The sequence below is a fragment of the Homo sapiens genome, chromosome 21 (assembly GCF_000001405.40).
Source record: "Homo sapiens chromosome 21, GRCh38.p14 Primary Assembly".
NCBI classification, from domain to species: domain Eukaryota; kingdom Metazoa; phylum Chordata; class Mammalia; order Primates; family Hominidae; genus Homo; species Homo sapiens.
In genome coordinates, this window is record NC_000021.9 from 14,549,053 (window position 1) to 14,573,068 (window position 24,016).

The following is a 24,016-nucleotide window of genomic DNA, read 5'->3' on the forward strand; positions in this document are numbered from 1 at the left end:
TAAAAATTTTGAAGAAATTGCAGTCAAATGACAAAGATTGAGGTGTATTTTTCGGGAAAGTAAGGTGAGCCATAAAAGGATTGGTTCAGCAATCCAACAAATATTTATTTAGTGTATTGCTAAAACACAAATCATAAAATTCAAAGCATAGATAGAAGGAAATTAGAGATCATGGGACATTCAAAGTGATGTCCTCGATTCTGAGACATTGAGGATCTCCATCTACATCTCTCTGCCTTCTGCCATCAGGTTGAAGAATACAATTAGATAGTAGTTTGGATTAATCCTACTCTACATTTTATTTTAGGACATGTACACTGGTTCAATGGATGAAGGGTTTTAAAATCAAATCTTTTAGAATGAAAGTAGATTCTCTGCATTGCTCTAATAGTTAAAACTTCTCTAACATGAAGAGTTGGTTGGGCACAATCTTATGCATGCCTCTGTGTATTGCTGGGTCAACCATGACCAAGGGATATTTTATTAACTCTAACCAAAAATACTCCTGACTATACCTCAAGTGTTTTGTTACAGGAGGAAAACAGAGAGACCAATTTCAAGAATTTGAAAATAAGCAAAATAAGGTTGTCATCACAGAACCCAACTCTGAAATTAAGATTTAATGTAAGAATAATCATTTTATAGAAAAAAGAACTGTATTCCATTCAAACCTGCAGAATTTACTCATCTATGATTAAGAAAAGGAGTCAATCATAAAAGTAACTTAACCTTGATAATTCCTCTCTTCTTTTTGGCCCCCTCAGAGTAGACTTCTTTCTATAGTACAGGGAAGAGAATTTTATTCAAAGAAGTTGAGTGGGGATATTGTGTTCCTACCTGTTTGGGGTTTCACGGAAGTGGAGATCCTACAATATCAAAAAAAAAAACTCTTTCTTTCTCAGTGTTTCCTGAAATAAGTACACATTGCCATCTGATGACGTTCTCTGCAATTCTGTATTTAATAATTCAGATGTTGGTGCCAAGCTATATAGAGGGGCCTTGGTGTTGTACCCTCCTCTAGTTATCTAGCTTATTCTTACCATAGGTGGATTAAACATCTCAACACCTCCTTGTTTGGATTTGGGAGTTTAAGAGAAATGACGGGATGGATATTCCCCCTGGCCTATGGGAGGAGTTAAGGAAGTGGGGGGACCGTTTCTTCCTTGTGAATCTCCTATATTTCCTAACTCTCTAAAGTCACTTACCCATTCTATGTCTGGAGTTCCTGTTTACTAATTCCTTTCTCTAAGGGACCCAGCCCTACCCAGCTCTTGAAATCCCTTCTAATGTGTTACTAATTGAAAAGCTGTGCAGTGACTTTTCTGCTTCTCCTGGTGACCTGCTCCAGGAAGTGACAAGCTCATGTTTTGGGGAGATTAGGGGAAGATAAAATTCTGATTCTATTAACAGGAAGTGGCAAGAAGATGGGAGCTACTGAGGTTTGCCATTTCCAACAAGACGTGAAATCAAGCATATCTATCACCAGGATTAATTTCTTCTAAAAACGGACCTGAAGTCTACATGATAAATTAATATTCCACCTGTTGACTTCTCCTTATAAGACCCTGCCTGAGTTTCATTGCCTGAGTTCCCATACATTCAACTAACAAGGATGAGGTGATGCCCAAACAACTTCTAAATAATTAGGAAGGTTAGGGAGAATCTAAATTCATTTTACCTCAAATAGAAAAAAGACAGTAACACAGACAAATACTGGAAGGTTCCTTTCAAGTTGCTGAGTTAAAGGAAAAGAGAGCTTAGTGAGCTTTGAGTATCTTAATTCTCCAGACAAGATAATCTATTGCATGGAGATGAACATATCATGCAAATTTTAGCTGGATTTCAGTAAACAAAATATGTGTTTAACTATTTTCCTTTGTTTTTATTTTAAGCTCTATGCATAAATGATGATTTGGCTCCTTGGGTAGATATGTCTATAGGAGACAAAGGCAGCATTCATATGGACATCAAGTACCTGGAATCTGAGATTGCTATTTCTCATTACAAATTTAAATACTGCCAAAGTGGTTAACTAGAATGTATTGACAGAAAAGGATCTACCCTTGATGTGCTCAAAATACTATGTTTCTGAGTGGTTAGAGTTGCTAGTCATACTCTGGATATCTTGGGAAGCCTCTTAGAGAGCCTGGCCTGGCAAAATTACTGCTTATTTTAAATTTCCAAAGAGATAATGTAACACATTATCTTGTTATCTCAGTTATAGAAGAAACAGATCATTGGGATAAATAGAAGGGACCAATGGCCTAAGATGAATGGTGAACCTAAAGAATCATACAGGATAAAACTGCCTTGAAGAGACAAAGAACTTCATAAATTACATCTATGCCTTACAAGATGTTTGAATGTAAGAGAAGACTGGGTACCAAGAATGAGTAGTATCAGTTCAAAGTGACTGGAAAAATTAGGGAGGCTGATAAAGTTTAAGATTCAAAATAAATGCAAATTACTCAGATTACTTCAATAAATTATAAGTATTTCCTTTCTAAGTGGTTTTAAAGTCATATAAGGGCCATATTGTGGTTGGCATAACAAATAATGATAAAATTTAATCCATTTATGATTAAAAGTTGTAATTTTCATGAAGTAATATTATTCTACAAGTTAATAATATTAATAATAATGACTGTCATCTTGAGTGTTTATTACATAACAGAAATTATGCTGTGTGCTTTATAAATATTTTCAATATAATCTTCACAAAAATCTTCATGAGCTGGTACTAATATTATCATTCTCAGCTTCCTGGTGGGGTTTGGTAACGTGTCTAGTTTGCACAGCTAGGAAGTGGTGGAGTCAGGATTCAATCCAAAGCCTCAGCTCATAACCATCACTCTATGTCATAAGTAGGTCTTGGCATACCTAAATACCTGGCATAAAATGGGAATGATTAATTTGACTGTTCGGGTCAGGAATGCTAAGGGCTAGGGGGAGGGTAATGTTGAGTTGCTGGCTTCTGGTTGAAAAGAGAGTTGGTTCAATCATTACATGTGTAAAAAAATTTGAAACCAGTAAATCTGCAGCCAATCCAGAGCTCTTTTCTATAATTAAGATTCAGTATCATGGGGACAAATCTGCATTTCAGGCCCCTCTCCAACCCAAGCTACCTTGTTGAGACACTTATTGGCCCTCAATTCTACCCTTGATAATAATCATTGTCTCTAATTTTATGCTTACAAAAATGGGTGTAGGTAATCAGAGTAGAAGCACAAATGAGACTTATGCACACTTTATGAAATTCCTTTCTATGAAGTTCCTTGGTCTGAATGTTTGTGTGGTCCCAAAATTCATATGTTGGAATTCTCACCCGCAAGGTGGAAGGTAATAGTAGGTAGGGCTTTTGGGAGAATTAGGTCATGGGGACAGAGCCTTTATGGATTGCATTAGTGCCCTTATAAAAGAGGCTAGAGAGACATCCCTTCACTCCCACTTTTCCACCATGTGAAGACATAGCAAGAAGGTGCCATCTATGACCCAGGAAACAGGCCCTCACCAGAAGAGAAATTTGCTGGTGTCTTCATCATGGACTTCCCAGCCTCTAAACTGTGAGAAATGAATTTCTGTTGTTTGGAAGCTACCCCAAGTTTATGGTATTTTATTATAGCAGCCCAAATGGACTAAGTCACCTGTTTTTGATAAGGCATCTGTCCGTAAAGTTACTACCATAAGCACATTCCATTTGCTCGAGTTGGAGGTTTAGCTCTCCAATTTCTATTTCTAAAGAGCGTTTATTATTCCCTCAATCTTTTGCTCTTAATTTTGTGATTTTGCTTGCCTCAATATCAAATCCAAATTGTGATTATCATCTTCACATTTCTACAATATTGTTCTTTTCTATATTTCTAAATGTCATTTAAAGTTTTGCAAATATAAAAATGCTTACACTAAAAAAGTTAGAAAACACAAGCACCCTCTCCCATCCTTCTCTATTCCTAGACTTCCTATTTCAACTCTTTTTCTGATCCTTCCAATATTTAAAAAAAAAATGTTTCTAGTTGGTTAGATTTATTTTTCTAGATAATATATTTTCTTGATTTATGCATTAGGCATTATCTATTTATTCCTTTTTTTATCCTTGAGGATTTTGTACTCTTCTTACTTCCCAACTACCTTATAATTATTTTGTTAAATCATTAGTCACTATTAACATTATCATGGTATAAATAATATTATTCATGGCTGAGTTAAATATTGTTTAATGCTTTATGTTCCTCTTTTGCCCATTTTTGGAATTAATAACTGTCTTTCTTTTTATATGATTGGTTCTCTATATATTGTTAATATTTCACCAATAAATACTCTGACAATTATTTCAAGTGATTTGTTTCAAATATTTAATTTCAAACATCATACTTGTCATTGCAAATGCTCAAACACTTTAGATGTTTTTTCTGTTCTAATGTGTTCTAATGTGGTTTAGTTGTTCTCCGTTGAGGATAGAATGGAATTTCTCCTTAATCACTTCCAATTATCTCTGGTCTAAGTCTCACATCATGTTTCTTTTTGTCTGTTCTCTCATTTGCAGAAACATATCTCCTTAACAGAAAAAGGGCACTTACATCCTTTTAGATCCTTCACATTTGAATGCTATATTGACTTGAAATCGAATTCTAGCCTGGAAATCATTTTTTTCTCAATATTTAGAAGGCTTCTCCAATTGTCTTCTAGCTTTCAGAGTGTTGAGAAGTCTGCAGAAGCCATTGTGATTCCTGTTTTGTTGTGTATGGCCTGTTTTTTCTTTCTTTTTCTCTGCCTCTTTCCTCTGGATTTTCTTCGAATCTTTGGTATATCCTAAAATGTCATATTATGTGTGTTGATATGGGTTATTTAAAAACTTCTCTTTAGGCCTATGTTCCCTTGATAAGTTCTTCATCTCTCTTTGTTCTCTCCATCTGGAAACGGATTAGTCCAATGTTGAACATACTGGATTGATACTCTCATTTTATTATATTGCTCTCTGATTTCATTTATTTGACCTTTTGTTTTCCAGGAAAATTCCGTTACTTTTTCTACTAATTACTATAATAAATACAATAAATATTTTACTTTAGCTAGATTTTTAATTTGCAGAAATGCTTTCTGATTGTTCACTTTTCATAACATTCTGTTCTTAAGTTTTGGAAAGGCAGTGACATGTAATGGTTATGAGGGTGGACTTTAACCACACTGCCTAGGTTCAAATCCTGACTCTGTCATTTACCTGGGTGCCCTTGACAAGTTATTTAGCCTTTCCATAAAGTGCACATGACAGTAATGCTTGAAAGATATTGCTATGAGAATGAAAAGAGACACTATTATGGTGTTGTTGGAAAAGTGCCTGGTACATAATAAACACTAGATAGTAACAAGCAAATACTTGGAATATATTCCATTATCTTTCTGAAGTTATTAATTATCATTTTTACAATTTTCCTTCTATTCCCTTCATTATCTTGTTTTATTCTGACTTCTTCTGTTTGCTTTGATTTCAGTCTTTCATATTTAAGCTGTTGTCATATGTCTGGAGATTGTGCTCTCTGGATACATTACTAAAGATCATGGTATGAAAAAACCCGACTGGAATTTCTATGTAAATGGGTGGGCTTGTCAGGTGATCAACTAGCAGTTAAGTCTTTTGTTTTCTTTTTCTTTTTTTTTTTTTTTTTTGAGACAAAGTCTTCCTCTGCCACCCAGGCTAGAATGCAGTGGCACAATCATGGCTCACTACAGCTTTAAACTCCCAGGCTCAAGCAATCCTCTCACCTCAGTCTCCTAACTAGCTGGGATTACAGACATGCACCATAATGTCTGGTTTATTTTCTATTTCTTGTAGAGATGGGTTCTCACTGTCTTCCCAGGCTGGTCTTGAACTCCTGGACTCAAGAAATTCTCCTGCTTGGCCTCCCAAAGTGCTGGGATTACAAGCATGAATCACCACACCTACCCCAAGGAAACTTTTTCATCAGAAGACCCTCAAATGACAGTTTCTGGAGTTCTTTTCTTTGAGACTATTCAGGTCTGCAGATACTAACCTTTCCATGCCCTGCTGGGCTGTGGAGAAAAGAAAGTAGTTTCCTTGCTGCCTTCAAAGGCTGAGCCTCTCAGGGCCTCTGTGATGCACACTGACTCATTTCATTGCAGCCTCCTTGTCTACAACTTCTGAGATTGCAACGTGCTCCAACTCTCCATTCACCTTTTATTATCCAAAACATTAGTTGACATCCTTTCTATCCTTCTCCCAAATCTCTTTGTCTCTTTAGGTTTGCATCTTCTTGGTAAGTGTATGTAGCTATTTAAACAAAATCTAGTTTTGCCAACTACATTCCTTCACATTTTTATTAACTCCAAGTCTCTTCCTTCACCCTGCCTTTTAAAACATTTGGACATATTTATCTTATTTGCTCAGCTCCTAACTATATGAAACATATAGCAGGTATTGATTCCTGTCAATACCACCCCTACCTTAAAGTTTTCAGATTGGCATAGGGACATGGCAGAATGACACAGTAGGAAGAAAGCAACACACACAGATGAAGCCTTTCCATTGAAGCCCATTCTTACATGTAAGTGATTGTGCTCTCTCCACATTTTCATATTCTTCTCACAAGCACAAAAATACAGTATTCTGTGGAAGAGTTTGCCTTTTCATTCTTTATAAACAGGATAAAACAGTCGAAGCTCAAGTTTTTATTAAAAATCTTCAAAATAACTTTTAAACTTAGAATATTATTCAGTACCACTGAATCGTGCCTCATTTGGCAGAAAGGCAATTCTGTCCATATTACAATACTGACAGAACAAATTGATCTAAATTTTGCACAGAAGTGCTTTGTTATAAATTTTGTTATTAACTTTTATCTGAACATAGTACACCTCGTGTATAATATTAAAATTGCCTGCTTAATTCATACTTTATTCCCCAGAAGCAAAGAGGAAAGTAGATTGTACTGATCAATAGACCATGATTTCCTGTCTCTACCTACTGAAGAAAAATGCAATTAGTAGAATTTCATGGAAGAGATATATATGAGCTTCCTTTCCTCAGAAACGCTATTCTTAAACAGGAAGAACAAGATCATTTCTATTTCCTTTCTATTTTCACTCATCAGAAAAATTTATAGCAGATTCAAGAGTGACCAGATTATTTTTCAGGCCTGATCATTTGAAACTACATCAAAGTTGTAAAGCTATAGGAGAGGGTAAGTGTATTGTCTACTTCTTAAAACAATCAAAAGCCTCATATGATCTTCATGCCATCATCTTTGAGAACAATATAATTATAAGATGAAATACTCCAATTGCATGTCAGTTTAATTACAAATAAATAGAAAATAATTACGGTGGATGTTTTTAATGAAAAAATGTGTATCACAGCTAAATCAAATTTCCTATGTATATTACATAAATCTGCATATATACTTAGGTATATATGTATGTGTATATGCATGCGTGTGTTCATACACATACACATATTAGGCTGTTCCAATTAAATGGAATTCCACCTTTTCTTTTTAACATAAAGGGTAATAAAAGAGCTTCTTAGGAGACTGAGTATATTGTAAATAGATGCACATTGCCTTCTCCCACCCAACACACACAAAGTGAGGTTTATACATGAAGTGCAAAGCCACAGTGAGGCATGCTGCCTCGGAAGCCTACCTGCATTCTAACTGAAAGCATCTGCATGTGTTATTTGTGGGAAGAGGAAACAAAAATCAAGTGATCATTGACAGGATTTTAGAAACATGTTACCTGCAACTCAATTCTATTTTTTCTCAAATAAGAAAACTTTTCCATAACATTTGCAGCCATGTTTATGAGAAATGAAAGAAAGATCTGGTTTTGTCAACTGAATATACAATAAACCGAATATCCAAGTTAACATCTGTGCCCAGCAACACCCTCTCCAACCAAAATAATAATAATAACTGATTAACTACAAACCAATATCTGGTTGGAAAGAAATCAGATTTCTTGTTATGTTTCCAAGAGCATGTAATTCTGACCTCCTGGAGTGGCCCCTGCAAGCAGTGAAACACTCAGACTGTTTTCTGCTGAGCAGGCCTGGCAGAAGGGTCTGCTTTTCCTCGTTCTACCCATCCACGGAGAACCTGTGGTGTGAAGAGAGCATGTGGACTTTGGAGGAGTGATGTAGAGTTGAGTTCAGACAAGCTACATGAACTTGAGCCTGACACCTGTCCTCTCCAAGTCTCAAATTTCCTCATTAATTAAAAGGAGAAAATAACATTTCCTCATGAGATTATTGTTGGGATTAAATTGTGCAAAATGTATAAAATTCCTGACACAGAGAGAGTCTTAACAAATACTAATTTCATCCTCTCTCCTTCAGGGACAAAGGTAGAAAGCCTGAGATTCCTAGGAATTCACGCCCCATACTTCTTCTAGGACGTGGTCATAGTGTGACCCAGGTTCCTGGGAACATGTTCAACCCCTGTTTTCAAAGCCTGTACACACATCATTGCTCTTTTTACCTGGTGTTTTCTTGCTGTCACATGCTCTAATGATATTTGAATATGCTATTTATCCCCAGCTACCAGTTAAGGGAAATTTCTACGGGGAATTCACTTCTGCTTTCACTTAGATTTAGCATTTAGCTGTGGATTTGCAAATGCACTTGACACAAACTCCACACTCTTTTCCATCACCAGGAAGGCTGGAACGTCTCTGGTCTTTGCCTATCTATGCCATTCTCCTCCTTTCTTTCTCTGATCTGGTCACGCTGATCTCTCTGCACTTGGACTACCAGTCAGTTCTTACCTGTCCTGGGATTTTGCTCAAGCTTTTCCATCTGCGGGAAGTGCTTTTCCCTTTACTTTTGACATGGGTGGCTCCTTGTCATCAAAGCCTGCTTTCCTTCAGGCCACCTGTCCGTGGAGGTCCTGTGGTGTGATGAGAGCATGTGGACTTTGGAGGAGTGATGGCATGAGCCTTCATGTCACCTCCACAAAGGGCTTTCTCCAATCAAACACATATAGGTGCTTGATTGTTTTTACTGTTTTGATGATTTGTTGTGTTGTTGGTTTATTTTGGTTACTGGAAGGCAGAAATTAGGCCTATCGCTAGCACTAGCATAGAACCTGGCAGACAGGGGCTCAGGAAATGGTTGTTGAATAAACGAATCGTCTCAACTGTATAGGTGTGCACGTTTTAGGCCACCTCCTTGGATTGACAAGTAACAGGATTAAAATTGCAGAATCCGTACCCCTCAAAACTCAAAAGGATTATGGCAGGTAGAACAAATGTTGAATTAGACAACATGAGAAAAAAATCCAGCAAAAATTTGGAAACACGCATGCTACGAACTATTTAAAAAAAAAACACTTTCAGCTGGGCGCAGTGGCTCACGCCTGTAATCCAATCACTTTGGGAGGCTGAGGCAGGTAGATCCACATGAGCTCAGGAGTTCCAGAGCAGCCTGGGCAACATGGGGAAACACCATCTTTACTAAAAATACAAAAAAATTAGCCGGCCGTGGTGATGCATGCCTGTAGTCCCAGCTACTCGGGAGGCTGAAGCAGGAGAATTGTCTCAACCCAAGAGATGGAGGTTGCAGTGAGCCGACATCTCATCACTGCATGCCAGCCTGGGTGACAGAGTGAGACTCCATCTCAATTAAAACAAAAACAAAAACAACAACAACAACAACAACCAAAACTTTCTCCTGTATGGAGAAATTCATAAGATATGTCAAAATACCTTCCTAATGATGATAATGATCTATTATTGATCTTTATAACATTCTGTCCCATGGCTTCAACATCTTTTAAGATAAATTATTTTATTCTAACAGCTTTCCTGTGAAGTACTTATTCTGATTTTTACGCATATGAAAAACTATTTGAATTTCCTTTTCTACCGACTCAGCTCCTGATTCCAGGACTTCTAATTCTGAACCCACGAGTTTTCCTGCAAAGCATTCATTGAAATGAAATATCTCCTCACCCATTGAAAGAAATTATGTCGGTCCCATCTCCACTAAAATCCTGGCCCTATAATTCTCTGAATATTAGAGCTTGACTTGAATTTGCCAACTCCTGTTTGTGCAGATAGTGTGTTAGAAAAGTAACACTTCTCCTTTGAAAAAGAAAAGAAACTTTCTTTACAAGATAATAAATATATAGGGGAAAAACATGGGCTTTTGTTTTTCTAGTTTATGGTGCAATCAGTATGTCATGTGGTTCATGCAAAGGCAGCTTCTTTATTTCAGACAGCAAAGGTCATCTCTTCTGACAACCAGTAGGTGAGCAGAATCCACTCAGTAGTATCACCTTACCAAGGCAGCAATGGGGAAACTACAGAAGTTTGTTGCTGGTCTTTAAACCAGCACAGCTTTGATCACCACCTTGGAAAACCCTAATAAGCTTAAGAGTCTTTTCTATGACTGACTAATGTCTTGACTAGTGAAGGTCCCTTGGGAGAATCTGTCTCTTTCTGTCTCTCTTCTTTTTCCAGAGAGTGGGGCTCTCTCAGTCACCCAGGCTGGAATTCAATAGCATGATCATGGCTCACTGCAGCATTGAACTCATGGGCTCCAGAGATCCTTCTAGTCCTCCTGTATTGCTAGGACTACAGGTGTTGGCCACCATGCCTGTCTAATTTTTTTTTTTTCTTTTCTGCAGAGACAAGGTTATCCCTATGTTGCCCAGACTGGTCTTGAACTCCGGGCCTCAATTTATCCTCCCATTTCTGCTTCTCAAAGTGCTGGGATTACAGGTGTAAGCCACCAAGCCTGGCCTCAAAATCCCTCTTTTAGGCAGACAGAGATAAGAATGAATGGGATTTGAATTCCCCACAGGCATAATATATTGTTTCTGGGCTCTTCCCAGCATTCTTGTTATGCTGCAAGATTTGGAAGGAGGTGGTCTCATCTTATTTGTTTAACAATTATTTACCAAATATCTATTATGGGCCTGGGACTCTGTCAGGTGTCCAAAGACGGAAAGGTATGAACTGTGCCTTCCAAGACTTTACAGTTCAGTGGGAAGACAGGCAGATCAACAGAGAGTGAGAATCCAATGTAACATGTTCTGTATCAATCTGAGGTGTAATAAGCAGTGAAAGCATAGAGGGTAAATTGTTAATTTGCCTGGAGAAGTTAGGAAATGTTTTACTAAAAAGGTAATTCTTGAGAAAACATTTAGTGAAACAGGAATTTGTCAGGTGGACAAGAAAAATGGGGGGCATATTCTAGCAATGGGCAGAGTATATGATATTAGAGACATGAAATTGTTTGGTACTGAAACCATCTTTGCAAGATTATGGCAGCAAGAAATCTGACATAGCTGACTCCATCTTGCTTCTGACCTCCAAGCTGTCCTTGATCATTCCTGAGTGTAGGCCAAGCTAACTTTAGGAAGAATTTAGTATATAGTTTAATCTTAGAGCAAAGATTAAACTTCAAAACATGTCTCTTTCTTTGTTCAGGTAACATTATGCAGACAGGAGAGCTCTAATATAACATTTTGGACCAAACTGAGAGAGAAGAGGGGTGATCTTTTCTGCATTCTGTTTGTCTGTTTCATAGACAAGAAAACTCTGAGGAAGTTTAGTAATCAACAAGCTTTAGAAATTTTGAAAACTGGAAGAAAGGTATATCTCTCTATTTCCCATCTCTACTTCATGCTCCACATTTTAGTCAGTGCCTTTTATCTAACCACAAATCTAACTGTGTCCCTCTCTTGCTTCACAATGGTTCTTCAGTGGTTCCCCACCCCATGTAAATGTATACATGCTCGCCTTACATTCAGCTCTACGCTATTGAGCATAGTATATTAGTTTTCCAAGGCTGCCATAACGAAGTCATACAAACTGGGTGGCTTATAGCAGCAGATATTATTGTCTCAGTATTGGAGGCTAAAAGTCCAAAACTAAACCGTCTTTGCAAAACTAATGAAAGGCCACATTGTTAGGCTTTTATGAGAGGGTCTTGAACACTGATAAGATAGACACAGTTTCTACCATTCCTTACTGCTCAGGGGTCATGTAGCCAGAGGTTACAATATTTGTGACTTTCCTAATTTCTCCTGTAGATAACATCACTATTGTAGAATCTAAGATTGGTTTTTTGAGGTATCTTTCACGCTGCCCCACCCAGACTCATGACTCAACTGGTCATGTGGCCTCATCCAGAGGCAGACTCAGTGCCCGAGGACCATTTTCAACACCCTGTGATTTCATTCCCCAGCCAATCAGCAGCACCCATTCCCTAACTCCCTGCCCACAAAATTGTCCATAAAAACCACCTCCAAGCCTTTGGGGAGCCTGATTAGAGTGATAACTCTAGTTCTTCTGCATGGGCTGGCCTCAATCAATTAAATTCTTCTCTACTGCAATGCCATAGTTTCAGTGGATTTATGCTGTTTGCGTAGTTGGCAGGAAAACCTGTTGGGCAAATACAATATGGTCTAGAACTGAGGAATAATTCCCTACATCAAATGTGTATGATAAATAAGGAGAAAGACATGGGAGGGAGATGACAGGTGTTAGTTTACAGCCAGATTCTGAAGCATTTGGATGGCATGTGTTATGGGTTGAACTATATGGCCAAAAAAGATATGTTGAATTCCTGACCCCCAGCACCTCAGAATGTGACCCTCTTTGGAAATACGATTGTTGCCAACATAATTAGTTTAGTTAAGATGAGGTCATATGAAGCAGGGTGAACCCTTAATCCAATAAAACCAGTGTCCTTGAAAGAAGAGGGAAACTTGGACACCCACATGCACAAAGGGATGACCATATAAGAACAAACAGGGAGAGACTGGCCATGTGAAGATGGAGGCAGGAAGTGGAATTATGCCACCATGAATCAAGGAATGCCTAATGCCCAGGGCTATCAGAAGCTGGAAGAAACAAGGAAGGAGTCTCTCCTAGAGGCTTTGAAAAGAGCATGGCCCTGCCAATACCTTGATTTTGGACTTTTAGCCTCCAGAACTGAGACAATAATATCTGTGGCTGTAAGCCACCCAGTTTGTATGACTTTGTTATGGCAGCCTTGGAAAACCAATATACTATGCTCAATAGTGTAGAGCTGAATGTAAGGTGAGCATGTATACATTTACATGGGGTGGGGAACAATTGAAGAACCATTGTGAAGCAAGAGAGGGACACAGTTAGATATGTGGTTAGATAAAAGGCACTGGCTGAAATGTGGAGCATGGAGTAGAGATGGGAAATAGAGAGATATACCTTTCTTCCAATTTTCAAAATTTCTAAAGCTTGTTGATCACTAAACTTCCTCGGTGTTTTCCTGTCTATGAAACAGACAAACAGAATGCAGAAAAGATCACCCCTCTTCTCTCTCAGTTTGGTCCAACATGTTATATTAGAGCTCTCCTGTCTGCATAATGTTACCTGAACAAAGAAAGAGACATGCTTTGAAATATAATCCTGCCAGGTCCCCTTATTTAGTGATGGGAATGTCATAGTGAAAAATGATAATACTAATACTATCTATACTATATATATTTATATATATGTATGTATATAATACTATATAATATGGACTCTTAAAATGATTTTGATATTGATATTTTTATGATTAAAAAATTCAGTTGAAAACTCATCACCATGAAATGAATAAAGTAATATTCCAGTATCAAGCAATTTGACTTCCCAGAATTGTTTTTCTTGATCTTTATCCTAATTGGAAAAATGAATTCATATCCATATCTTGAACTATCTACTCCAATGCAAGCAAAAATCCTAAGAAGCATTCTCCAAGTAAGATCAATACTAAGGATACTGTAATACAGCTGTAATTTTCTGTTACGTATATTTCTTCCAATGTAATGAACTGTTATGATAATTGGTAGCTTTAATGAAAGCAAATGACTTCTTTCTAATTTGGGTAGGTTGTATTCCAAGCTCTGATGTTCCTAAGTCTATGTACTCTTTAGCTGTTTCTAGTCTTGGATGGTTTAAATAGTTCTTATTATAAATGCAGAAAAATTGAGTATGTTTTCAGTATTTCCAACAACATAAATGCACATGCACAAACTTTACAAGTCATATATCTTTACTGAAATGACCAGATTCACTAGAGAGCAAGGAGACACTGCTAAAGCATTCTGATTCATATTCTGCAATGTCATCATAACCTCCTGAGACACAACATGTCTTTGCATATATGAGTAAATAATTTAACAACTGTAAGATATGTCCCAAAATATCTTTCATTTCATTTACTGGAATACCATAACTGACACTGATGCCAAAATATTAATTATATGACATAGCCAAAAATGTAAAGTATATGTTTCTAATTGAATTATATTGAAGGAGAAATTTAACATGACTTCACTTTGTTTTGAATGCAAATTACACAATGATATTATTAAATTAAGACTCTGTAAGTATGAAAAACTTTTGTGTACACAATTTAGTATTCAGTTGTCTTTGGTATTTTTATGTAAAATCATAAAATTTATTTGGGAAAGTTAAGGCTCAAAAAAGAGCTGGAGAAGCTCAATTTAAGGGGAAAAAAATAAAGCTGAGAGCAGCACTGGGTCTAGAGCCCAAGTGTCTCTACTTGTGGTACAAATGTAGTGTAGTCTTACCATGTGAGTGAGCTTCTTCCCCAGTAACTAAGCCCTGGGTACAAAAACAACAGTGGTTCCTATACTTCGTGATTCATACAAAGTTATATTTTAGAGAGATTAGTGGCCTTAAACAGAATTTCACAATAGTTTCTTACCCTGCAAATCAAATGTTCTCCATGGAAAGAACAGGTATAAAATACTTGGAAGGAGCTGTGAATGCCCCGTGTCAGCAATTGACATATGTGTCAGCATAAGTAGTGGTAGAATAACCTAAGTAGGAAAAGACTTAACAAGAATATAGGTACAATTAAGAATGGTAGCAAAAGTGAACCAAAAATAGCTTGTATCTGCATGGGGTGGCCAAGTTGGGTATACACACCTACTGGCATTCATTCATTTTGTCATTCCTTTACCCCAACACCATTTTCGAGTTCCTACTATATGTCTAGCATTGGTAAATACATTCGTTTTTTAAAAGTCTGATTTGCTTACACTATCTGGATTTTTAAAATGAGTAATGTCTGGTTCTGAACCCATGCAATTGATTTCAAATCAGATAATCTAAGAGGACCTTAGATGCCTACATACTGACTTGAAGAAGGGTTTTATGGAGACGCCGATGGAGAATATGGATTATATGTTTTAAAGCCACCATTTCCCATACTCTTATACTCAGTCTCATTCATTATTAAAGCCTAGAAGTAGATGAGAAGAAGGGAGATTTCTTGGAAGAGAAAAAATGAGCAAAATGAGCAAACATTTATTGATAATCTGCTATAGATTACTGCATCTCACTAAATCCTCTTAACAACAGTATCAAGTGTTATTGTCTCCTGTGTTGCAAAGAGAAAACTGTGGTACAAAACAGCTAACTCACCTAAAGACAAAAAGCTAACAAGTAGTCAAGAGTTAAACCCAGGCCTGTCTGACACCACTGTACCACACAGCCAAACCTGTCATGCAGAATAAAACTCACAAGATAATTAGTGGAGAAAGATGATAAGCCAAAAGCAACTCCATGCATTTCTTTAGCAGTTGGCTGTACATCTAAAGCTTTATTTTATAGTCAAAGAAGATCGCCTCTTTATCCTATCCCTCCTTCTCTTCCTCTGGTTTCTTTCAATTCATTTTCCACTTTGTAATTCCTTTCCAAGTGCTCACTATGTTGTCACCTTCTCCTAAGACCCAAGGGAGTATTTTTAGGAGCAGTCAGAGGAAGAAACCGAAGGCTGGGGAGGATCACTCCAAATCCACTCAGCAGGAAAAGTTATAGCATGCATAATTTCCAAAACAGGGTTCAGGAATCAAAGGGATGGAGAAGCAACTGAAATTGAGCAGAGGGGCAACAAAAAGGGCACACCAGGGAGCTTGTAAAACCAAGAAGAAAAAAGAACATGTTTTGGGCTGGGAGTGGTGGCTCACACCTGTAATCCCAGCACTTTGGGAGGCTGAGGTGGGTGGATCACTTGAGGTGAGGAGTTCAAGACCAGCCTGGCCAACATGGTGAAACCCCATCTCTACTTAAAAATACAAAAATTAGCCGGGCATGGTGGCATGTACCTGTAATCCCAGCTACTCGGGAGGCTGAGGCAGGAGAATCACTTTAACCTGGGAGGCGGAGGTTGCAGTGAGCTGAGATCACACCACTGAACTCCAGCCTTGGCAAGACTCTATCCAAAAAAAAAAAAAAAAACATGTTTTGGTTTGTATACCTCACAGAAGGCCTCCAAGACGCAGGGAAAATATCTTCAATGACTCATCCTCTATTGATAACACTAGCTTTTACACCAGGAGTCATGCTGAGAAGTTCAGAGACAGTGTTAAACTGCCACAACAAGTCAATGAACTCAACAAAATGCATTGCTTACACATAAATCTACAATTGCCTTGCTGGTTTTGTGATGCAGCTTTCTGAAATATGTATTTGTTTCCTTTTAACATGGGTTCTTGGCCTCCATCTATATACCAAGCAGAGATCTAAGCACCAGCACATAAAATATCTCTTAGCATCCTAACAATAAGTCTGAGAGAAAGCTTTATTTTTCCCACCACACAGAAAGAGACTGTGGATCAGAGAGTAGTGTGACTGCGGATGTCATCGATTCCAAATTTAAACTCAGGATTCCTTCCTTTAAAGTCTAGTGGTCTTTCCGTTATACCATGCTACATAAACTTCTCAACATCACAATGAATAAATACAATGCTAGCCACAATAAAAGTGCAAAAATGCTCTGAACATATGAGGAGTTTAATAAATATTTGGGGATTGGTAGATTTGTATAATTTCAAAAGGCAAACCAACAAACCTTGTCTCCTTGCCAATGGGACGTATGTCTTGACAATGAAAATAACAGGAAGACATAATAATTTATTCACTTCCAATTACCTATCTGCAGATGGACTTGCTAATTGGTTCTGTTTTCGTTATTAGTAAAGACATAATCTTACCTTTTTAACAATTTTCCCAGATACACAAAGGGCAAGCTGCTACTCTCATTGACAACTCATTGGCAGTAACCACATTTAAAGTCAGTTGTGTTTTAGTCAAAGGAGACTTTTCTCCACTTGCATCTGAATTGAAGTAATGCACAACAAATATAGCTATCAAATTTACTAATTGTGTTAAATAAGGATATCCAAGTGTTGCAAGACCATCAGAAAAAGCACACTACAAAAGCTAAGTAGTCAATTTCAAAAAGCCTTTTAACATAAGTATTTCAAAATCATTAATTTTGTTACCATTTAACACCAGTGATTTTCATTTCCCACAATCTATTCTGACATTTAAAGGAAGATTTTTAAAGTATCTCTTGCATCATATAAGACTACCACCATATAATGCCACTTAAAAATTACTGCATTTTACAAAGGTAAAGGCAGGGGGAGGTTGGCCCATAAAAAAATCTAATAAAACCTTCCATATATATATATAAAATTTTTTTTTTGAGACAGGGTCTCACTTTGTCGCCCAGGCTATAGTGCAGTGGTATGATTTTGGCTCACTACAACTTCTGCCTCCCGGGTTCAAGCTATTCTCTTGCCTCAGCCTCTCAAGTAGCTGGGGTTACAGGTGTGCACCAACATGCCTTGCTAATTTTTGTATTTTTAGTACAGATGGGATTTCACCATGTTGGCCAGGCTGGTCTTGAACTCCTGATCTCAAGTGATCTGCCCACCTCGGCCTCCCAAAGTGCTGGGATTACAGGGGTAAGCCACTGCACCTGGCCTTTCTCATATTTCTTTTTGAGCCATGTTAGTGTTATCCAGTACAAAGAAACACACACATGCACACCACCTAGAGACCTATTGTCATGGTTCAAACATCTTAGGATATAGAGATCATGACCAAACAATATTGGAAACTCTTACTAAAGTAAGTAGGCTTTATGATTAGTAAACTGGGCATTTTCTTTGATCCTCTGACAGAGGAGATGACTTTTGCTCCTCAATGATTGGGTTGAATGCTATGCCAGGTGCCTTCGGTCATACAGAGTGGTATTGACAGAGGGTTTCATGGCTCCTAGAACCACAAGAAAGCCATCCACTAAAACATCTGTACCAGGGCGGTGTTGTCAGAAGACAGAAAGGAAAATAACAGTAAAGAACATAAAAGAGTAGCCATAAATAAGAGGAAGTTGCACGAGTAAGTCAGGTGAATGGTTTTTAATCCGGCTTGGACGGCAAGCTTGAAAAAAAAAAAAACACAAAAAATGACCCAGTCCAGAGCATCAGATTTTATTTACATAAATATCAAAAAAAGATTATGTTAAAATGATAAAAATTATTTAATTTAAAACCATTTTGTAAAATCTGGAAAATATATGCTAAGTGAACTTGTGGTTTGTTAATACCCTTTGCTTGGGGATTTTTCTACTCCACAATTTATGAAAAGTCCCAAATATTCTCTAATGGGATTTTTAGCCCAGTCGGTTGGAAAGCACAAAACTACCTCTGGGGATTTATCCACTGCACCCATTAGAGGCTCTGTACACTCTTCCAGCTGATCATAAAGACCTTGAGTACTGAGCATTACCAAGGGACACCCAGTCCATTCCTGGCGTCCTGGTGTCCTTTTTTCTTTTCTGTGTTCTTAGTGTGAGGTCCTAAGGTGATGTGTATGGCAAGAATGGGACTAAGAAGACCTTGACTGAAACCGCAGCTCAGCCCTGAAACTGACTGACCTTGGGCGAGTTCCTCAATCTCGGTGCCCTGTTGCCTCTCATTTGGAAAATTCAATTGCCTACTTTACAGGATTGTTGTACCTTCTGGATTTAATAACTTGTGAAAATAATATACATATGAGAGATTCTCAAAAAGACTTCTTGGATAGGTGAAAATGAAACTGAAAAATCAGAGAATAAAAAATGGTGTTCGTCTATTCAGAAGTTGTTCTAAAACTTTGGTGAGCATAAAATATCACCTAAGCAGCTTTTGAAATGATGTCCATTCTAGAAATTCTGATTGAGTAAGTCTGGATTAAGCAAGCATTACTAATCATGGAACCACACATTGGGAAATACCGCTTTAGAACATAGTATTCTATCAAAATTGTAAAACAAATATTGGTTTTATTTGAAAACATTACATGAAGTGATTCTTTCTTTAATGACATGTCTCTCATTTAAGTGTTCAGGTTTATAAGGCCTCTGATTCTCAATTAGAATGAGTTCCCTATATCCCCCTCATAAATAGAACTATATCAACCTTTCACATCTAAGCAGCACTGAGCTCTAATAAGTGTGCCACTGTATGACAGCCAAGTGTGGAAAGGCGACTGGAAAAACACCACATATTATTTCTTGCCTATTTATTTTAAAACTGAGTAATAAAAGGTGTTCAGCATTTTGCCATATAAGGTACTAAGTTCGGAAATATTTTCACGGGAATCAGGTCTTCCCCCCAGTGATGGCTTAATATAATCCACAAGTACTCTTCATTCCTTCATAAAGTTGATCCATGGATATTTATTCATAGAAGAGGTCTTAGTGGTCATCTAGTACTATCCATTTATTTTACAGCTAAAGAAACCCCAGCTAATGTCAGCTGGCTTGTCCTCCAACCCAGAATCTTCACAAATGAAGAAGTTTCCCTCCCAAGGGAAGCCTAATTAAGAGCCAAGTCTACACTCAGAAAGATTTCTCCACTGAAACTAACTTTGCTATCCAGTGTTAAAAGGGAATCTAGTGTCTTAAATCATAGTATTAGTAGTAATTCCTTCATGTAAATAAATGCACAACATTTGGGTTAACCTCCTTCATAGTATCTTACTGATTGATAATATAAGAAAGCAGGATGACAGATTCATTTCACACAAAAATGCACTCCTTCAAAATAACAAAATTAACCAGAATTCATTTTACTTCAGATCCTGAAAGTCCAGCATTAAAAAACATTAAAAAGGCTAGGCATAGTAGCTTCATGCCTATAATCTCAGCAGTTTGGGAGGCTGGAAAGAGGATCACTTGAATCCAGGAGTTCAAGACCAGCCTAGGCAACATAGCAATACCTCATTTCTATTTAAAAAAAAAAATAAAAATAGCTAGGCGTGTTGTTGCATGCCTATAGTCCTGTCTACTTGGGAGGCTGAGGTGGGAGGATGGCTTGAGCCCAGAAGATAGAGGCTGCAGTGAGCTGTGACCGCACTACTGCAGTGCAGCCTGGGCAACAGAGCAAGACCCTATCTCTAAACAAAAACAAAATGCATTTAAAAGTTACTTCTTCTGAAAAGATAATTCTCTTCCACATTACACAGTAAAATAAATGAATTCATTTTGGCCGACTGCTGTTTTGGGTTATTTCCCCATTTTGCTGTTTTGGGTTATTTCCCCAATTTCCTTAGATGTGTACAAAAAAATTAGTGCTGATGATATTTTTAATCTTAACCCTCATCTGCTTTTTTGATAGATTTTTTTCCCAGATTTTTTCTGTTAACCCAAGCCCACACAGCCAGCAAAACTCCCAAGAACTCTTGCAACCAATTTTTCCTTTTCAATTGTATAAAGCTTTGAAAGTTATTGATTCTGCAAATGTGAAAAATTAACTTATCAAAAAATAGCACACATAAAATGGGAACTGGCCAAAGAAACACAAAGAATATTGTTTTAACTGGAAGTTCTATCATTAACTGCTACAACTACTGTATTCCTGATATGGCTTTTTGCAATATATTTATCACTATATGGGAACGATTTAATCTGCTCCATAGAGAGAGCAGTAGGAGCTCTCAGTGGCCTCAAAATATGATGGTTCTTACCAAAAACAACGAATCTAAATTTCTTGCAGATAGTAGGCCTAACTTTTTTTTTTCTAAAAGGAAATAACTCTCCTCTAAAAGTCAAATTTGTTTTTAAAACTGTGGTGTCTTTAACCACTTTCCCCCCCCCCAGTTTTTCACTTGACACCTTGTCATGAGTTACAGTGGCTTGCATCAATCATTCTGGGTTCACACAGAAAATATTTTGTGGTGGTTGACTATCACATGCGAGAAACTAAGTGCCCTTTGCGGGTGACTGCGCAGGTACCTCTGATTTCTTGCCAAATCATTCAGAATGCCGCAAATCCATTAAATCTCTCCACAGGGAGGAAAAAGTTCCCGCATTCTAGAGAGAGAATTTATGAGTTCATTTCAATCACCACAAATGAAAGCCACCCTTAATATTCATTAGAGATTTTACAGTGGCAATATGCATTATCTATTCATATGCCCCTCTAAAAGGCCAATTTCCCTTGAAACCTTGCATGGCTCCAAGCCACTCTTTGTAGAAACAATGGCCTATGTCCAAGTGGAATCAGGGGAGGCAAATGGATGACATTTCCTTATCCATTGGTAGTAATTCCACTAAGCCACTATGGTGGCTATGAGTTTCTGAGCTTTAAAAATTAAAGGACAGATTTGGAATGTGCAGTCGTGTCATTGTATCACTTCTCTGCTGTCATCTGTGACCATATGTCCTAAATTGAATAGAGCTTTTCGGTTGGCATCACAAGAGATGACTTTTGAAACTGACATTTCTTTCATTTGGAGAAATGTATATGTTGGAGACATAATCCTATGAGCCTGAGAGCTTTTCATTAATCTCTGTCTTTCTACCACCATAGTTCACGCCACCATCATCTTTCATCTATTTTTCCCTTCAAATCTATTTTCTTCACTGTATGTAGAGTGATCTTTCCAAAATATCAACTCAAGCCTCATATCCTCAACAAATCAACAAGAAATATCAAAATAAGCCCTTGGCTTAAAACAGTTCTTGCTTAGCTTCCTCATTGCTTTTAGGGAAGACACAGCAAAACAGCATAACCTGTAAGACCATATGTGGTCTGACTCCTTCCTCAGGCTTACCTTATCCCACATCTCCGTGTTTTCTCTCCCAGCTATTATGAATTCTCATTGTCCTTATTATCAGTTAGTTAACTCTTCTCTTCCATCACATTTGAACTCTATCATCACTACCCATGAAAGCATTTTCTGACTCCTCGCCTATTATTGGCCTTCACAGAACCATGTAACAATCATAGCTCTTATCAAAGCTGGCATTTCATGTTTATTTATGTGATTAAATATATTTTTGTTTCTAATTAGACTATAAGGTTCACAATAATCTGTTTCTACCCAACAGTTTATCCTCCTTAACTGGCATGATGTAAATACTCAAAACAAATTGTTGAGTAAATGAATAAATCAGTTCTTGATTTTAACGTATCTTGTGCCCTGGATAAAAAATCCTTTCTATGAGTGAGACATGGGCTTCCACTGGGGTTGGGCTTGAGGTGAGCTGCAATAAAGCCATATTTCTAATCCAATTATTCATCACTATGGTTGTATTTAATAGCTGGGAACCATGAGATGCATAAAGATCTTACACTGAATATTCATAAGGGTTTTTAGAGTGAATTCAACCACTTGCTTTACAACTTCCCAGGAAGGAGAGGGAACATGAATTTCTTTCCTTCATTTTTCATTCTTTCTGAAAAAGGTGGTTATGACTGAGCGATATATTATGACTTTGAAATAAAATATCATGAAATGCATATGTGATGTGGCTACTATAAAATATATGAGAAGAGTTTTAAAAAGGTAACATCATTTTACATATGCAAGACACTGTCAATACAGTCACAATTCGGGAGGTCAGAAAAGGGCAACGGTGATGCCAGCATGTGCACTCCAGCCTCTTCTTCTTTTTGTCTGTTTTCCCCAGTCTCTCACAGGCATGGGGTCAGTAGAGTACCCCCAAGAAGCTAAAAGTAAACTCTCACCCGTTGCTCACTGTATACATTTCAGTGAGTTAGCTCCAGCTTTCTTAGTTCCAGGGAGATAATTGGGCAAACTATATGAAATAATCTTAAAAACTACTGGAAACCAGTAATGTAAATTCAGTGCAACATTTTCTCGTGTAATACAGAATTGTTGATGGTGACATCCTAATGCAAGAACCTGTCTTTGTCACCATTGTGGCCACACAGCTCAGGGAAATACCTGATATATCATCGACATTATGCTGTTGTTACTGAATGACAAATAATTAGAAACATATAATAATAAATTATAATTAAATGATAAAAATTTCCCTTGAAAATAATAGCTTTTCTTCATTAAGTTCCAATTAGGTGTCAGGTACAGTTAAAGATGTTACATACATTATCTAGTCCAATTCTTACTAGAATTCCACAAAGAAATCTTTGTGTTTTCCATTTGGTAGATAAGAAACTGAAACTCTGAGAAACGAAGTGACTTAACAGTTACACAGACAGTAAATGGTGAGGCCACAGTTGAAGTCCAGGCTTATTTGACTCACGGAGTTTCCACCATATGCTGCTTCTCTTTACTGCCATGGTTATTTATAGATCTACTGCAAAATTTAAAGACAACTTAGTGATGGGAAAAGTCAGGACTAAGAGTTAGGAGGATTATGTTCAGCATCAGCTCTGCCATCATGTGCTGTTTGGGATCTCAGGTAATTCACTTAATCTTCATGCACCTCAATTTCTCTATCTGTAAAATGGCAGTAATGCTTTGCCTAATTCATAGAGCTAGTAGAAGAGCAAATGTGAGAAAAGTTATATTGCACCTTGAAGGCAGGGTCTCTAATTATCAAGCTGTTAAACCCTTACTTTTAATTAGCCCTTTCACATCCAAGGTGTCATTTCATACTGCAAGCTGGGAGCTGATGTCTCCATTTTTATAGATGAGATAAGTAAAGGTAAGTTACTAGCCTAGTCTCAAAAATTACAAAGCCATGATCTTTGCAGAAAAACTTTGGATTATATGTAGATTTCAGCTTAAAATCCTGCTCTGCCACCTGCATAAATCGGTTATCCTCTTTGAGCTTCAGATTTCTACATATAAAATAGAAATAATGATACCATGATACTGTCTTACTGAATCATAACACAATTAAAAGAATACATAAAATTACCTGAAATAAAGTCAAGTGCTAAGTCAATGGTGACCATGA

At 37.4% G+C, this 24,016-nt stretch overlaps 1 protein-coding gene across 3 annotated transcripts in view, besides 1 other annotated feature; it reads right to left on the reverse strand.

Moving 5' to 3' along the window:
- SAMSN1 (SAM domain, SH3 domain and nuclear localization signals 1) overlaps positions 1 to 24,016 on the reverse strand; it is a 174,190-nt gene that overhangs the window by 63,825 nt on the left and 86,349 nt on the right. The window lies entirely within an intron of this gene.
- Positions 23,280 to 23,339: a silencer, noted in NCBI's record as "silent region_13214". NCBI's record gives its function as "represses an Ori minimal core promoter by ATAC-STARR-seq in GM12878 lymphoblastoid cells {active_cell/tissue: GM12878}" and the evidence as "EXISTENCE:reporter gene assay evidence [ECO:0000049][PMID:35858748]".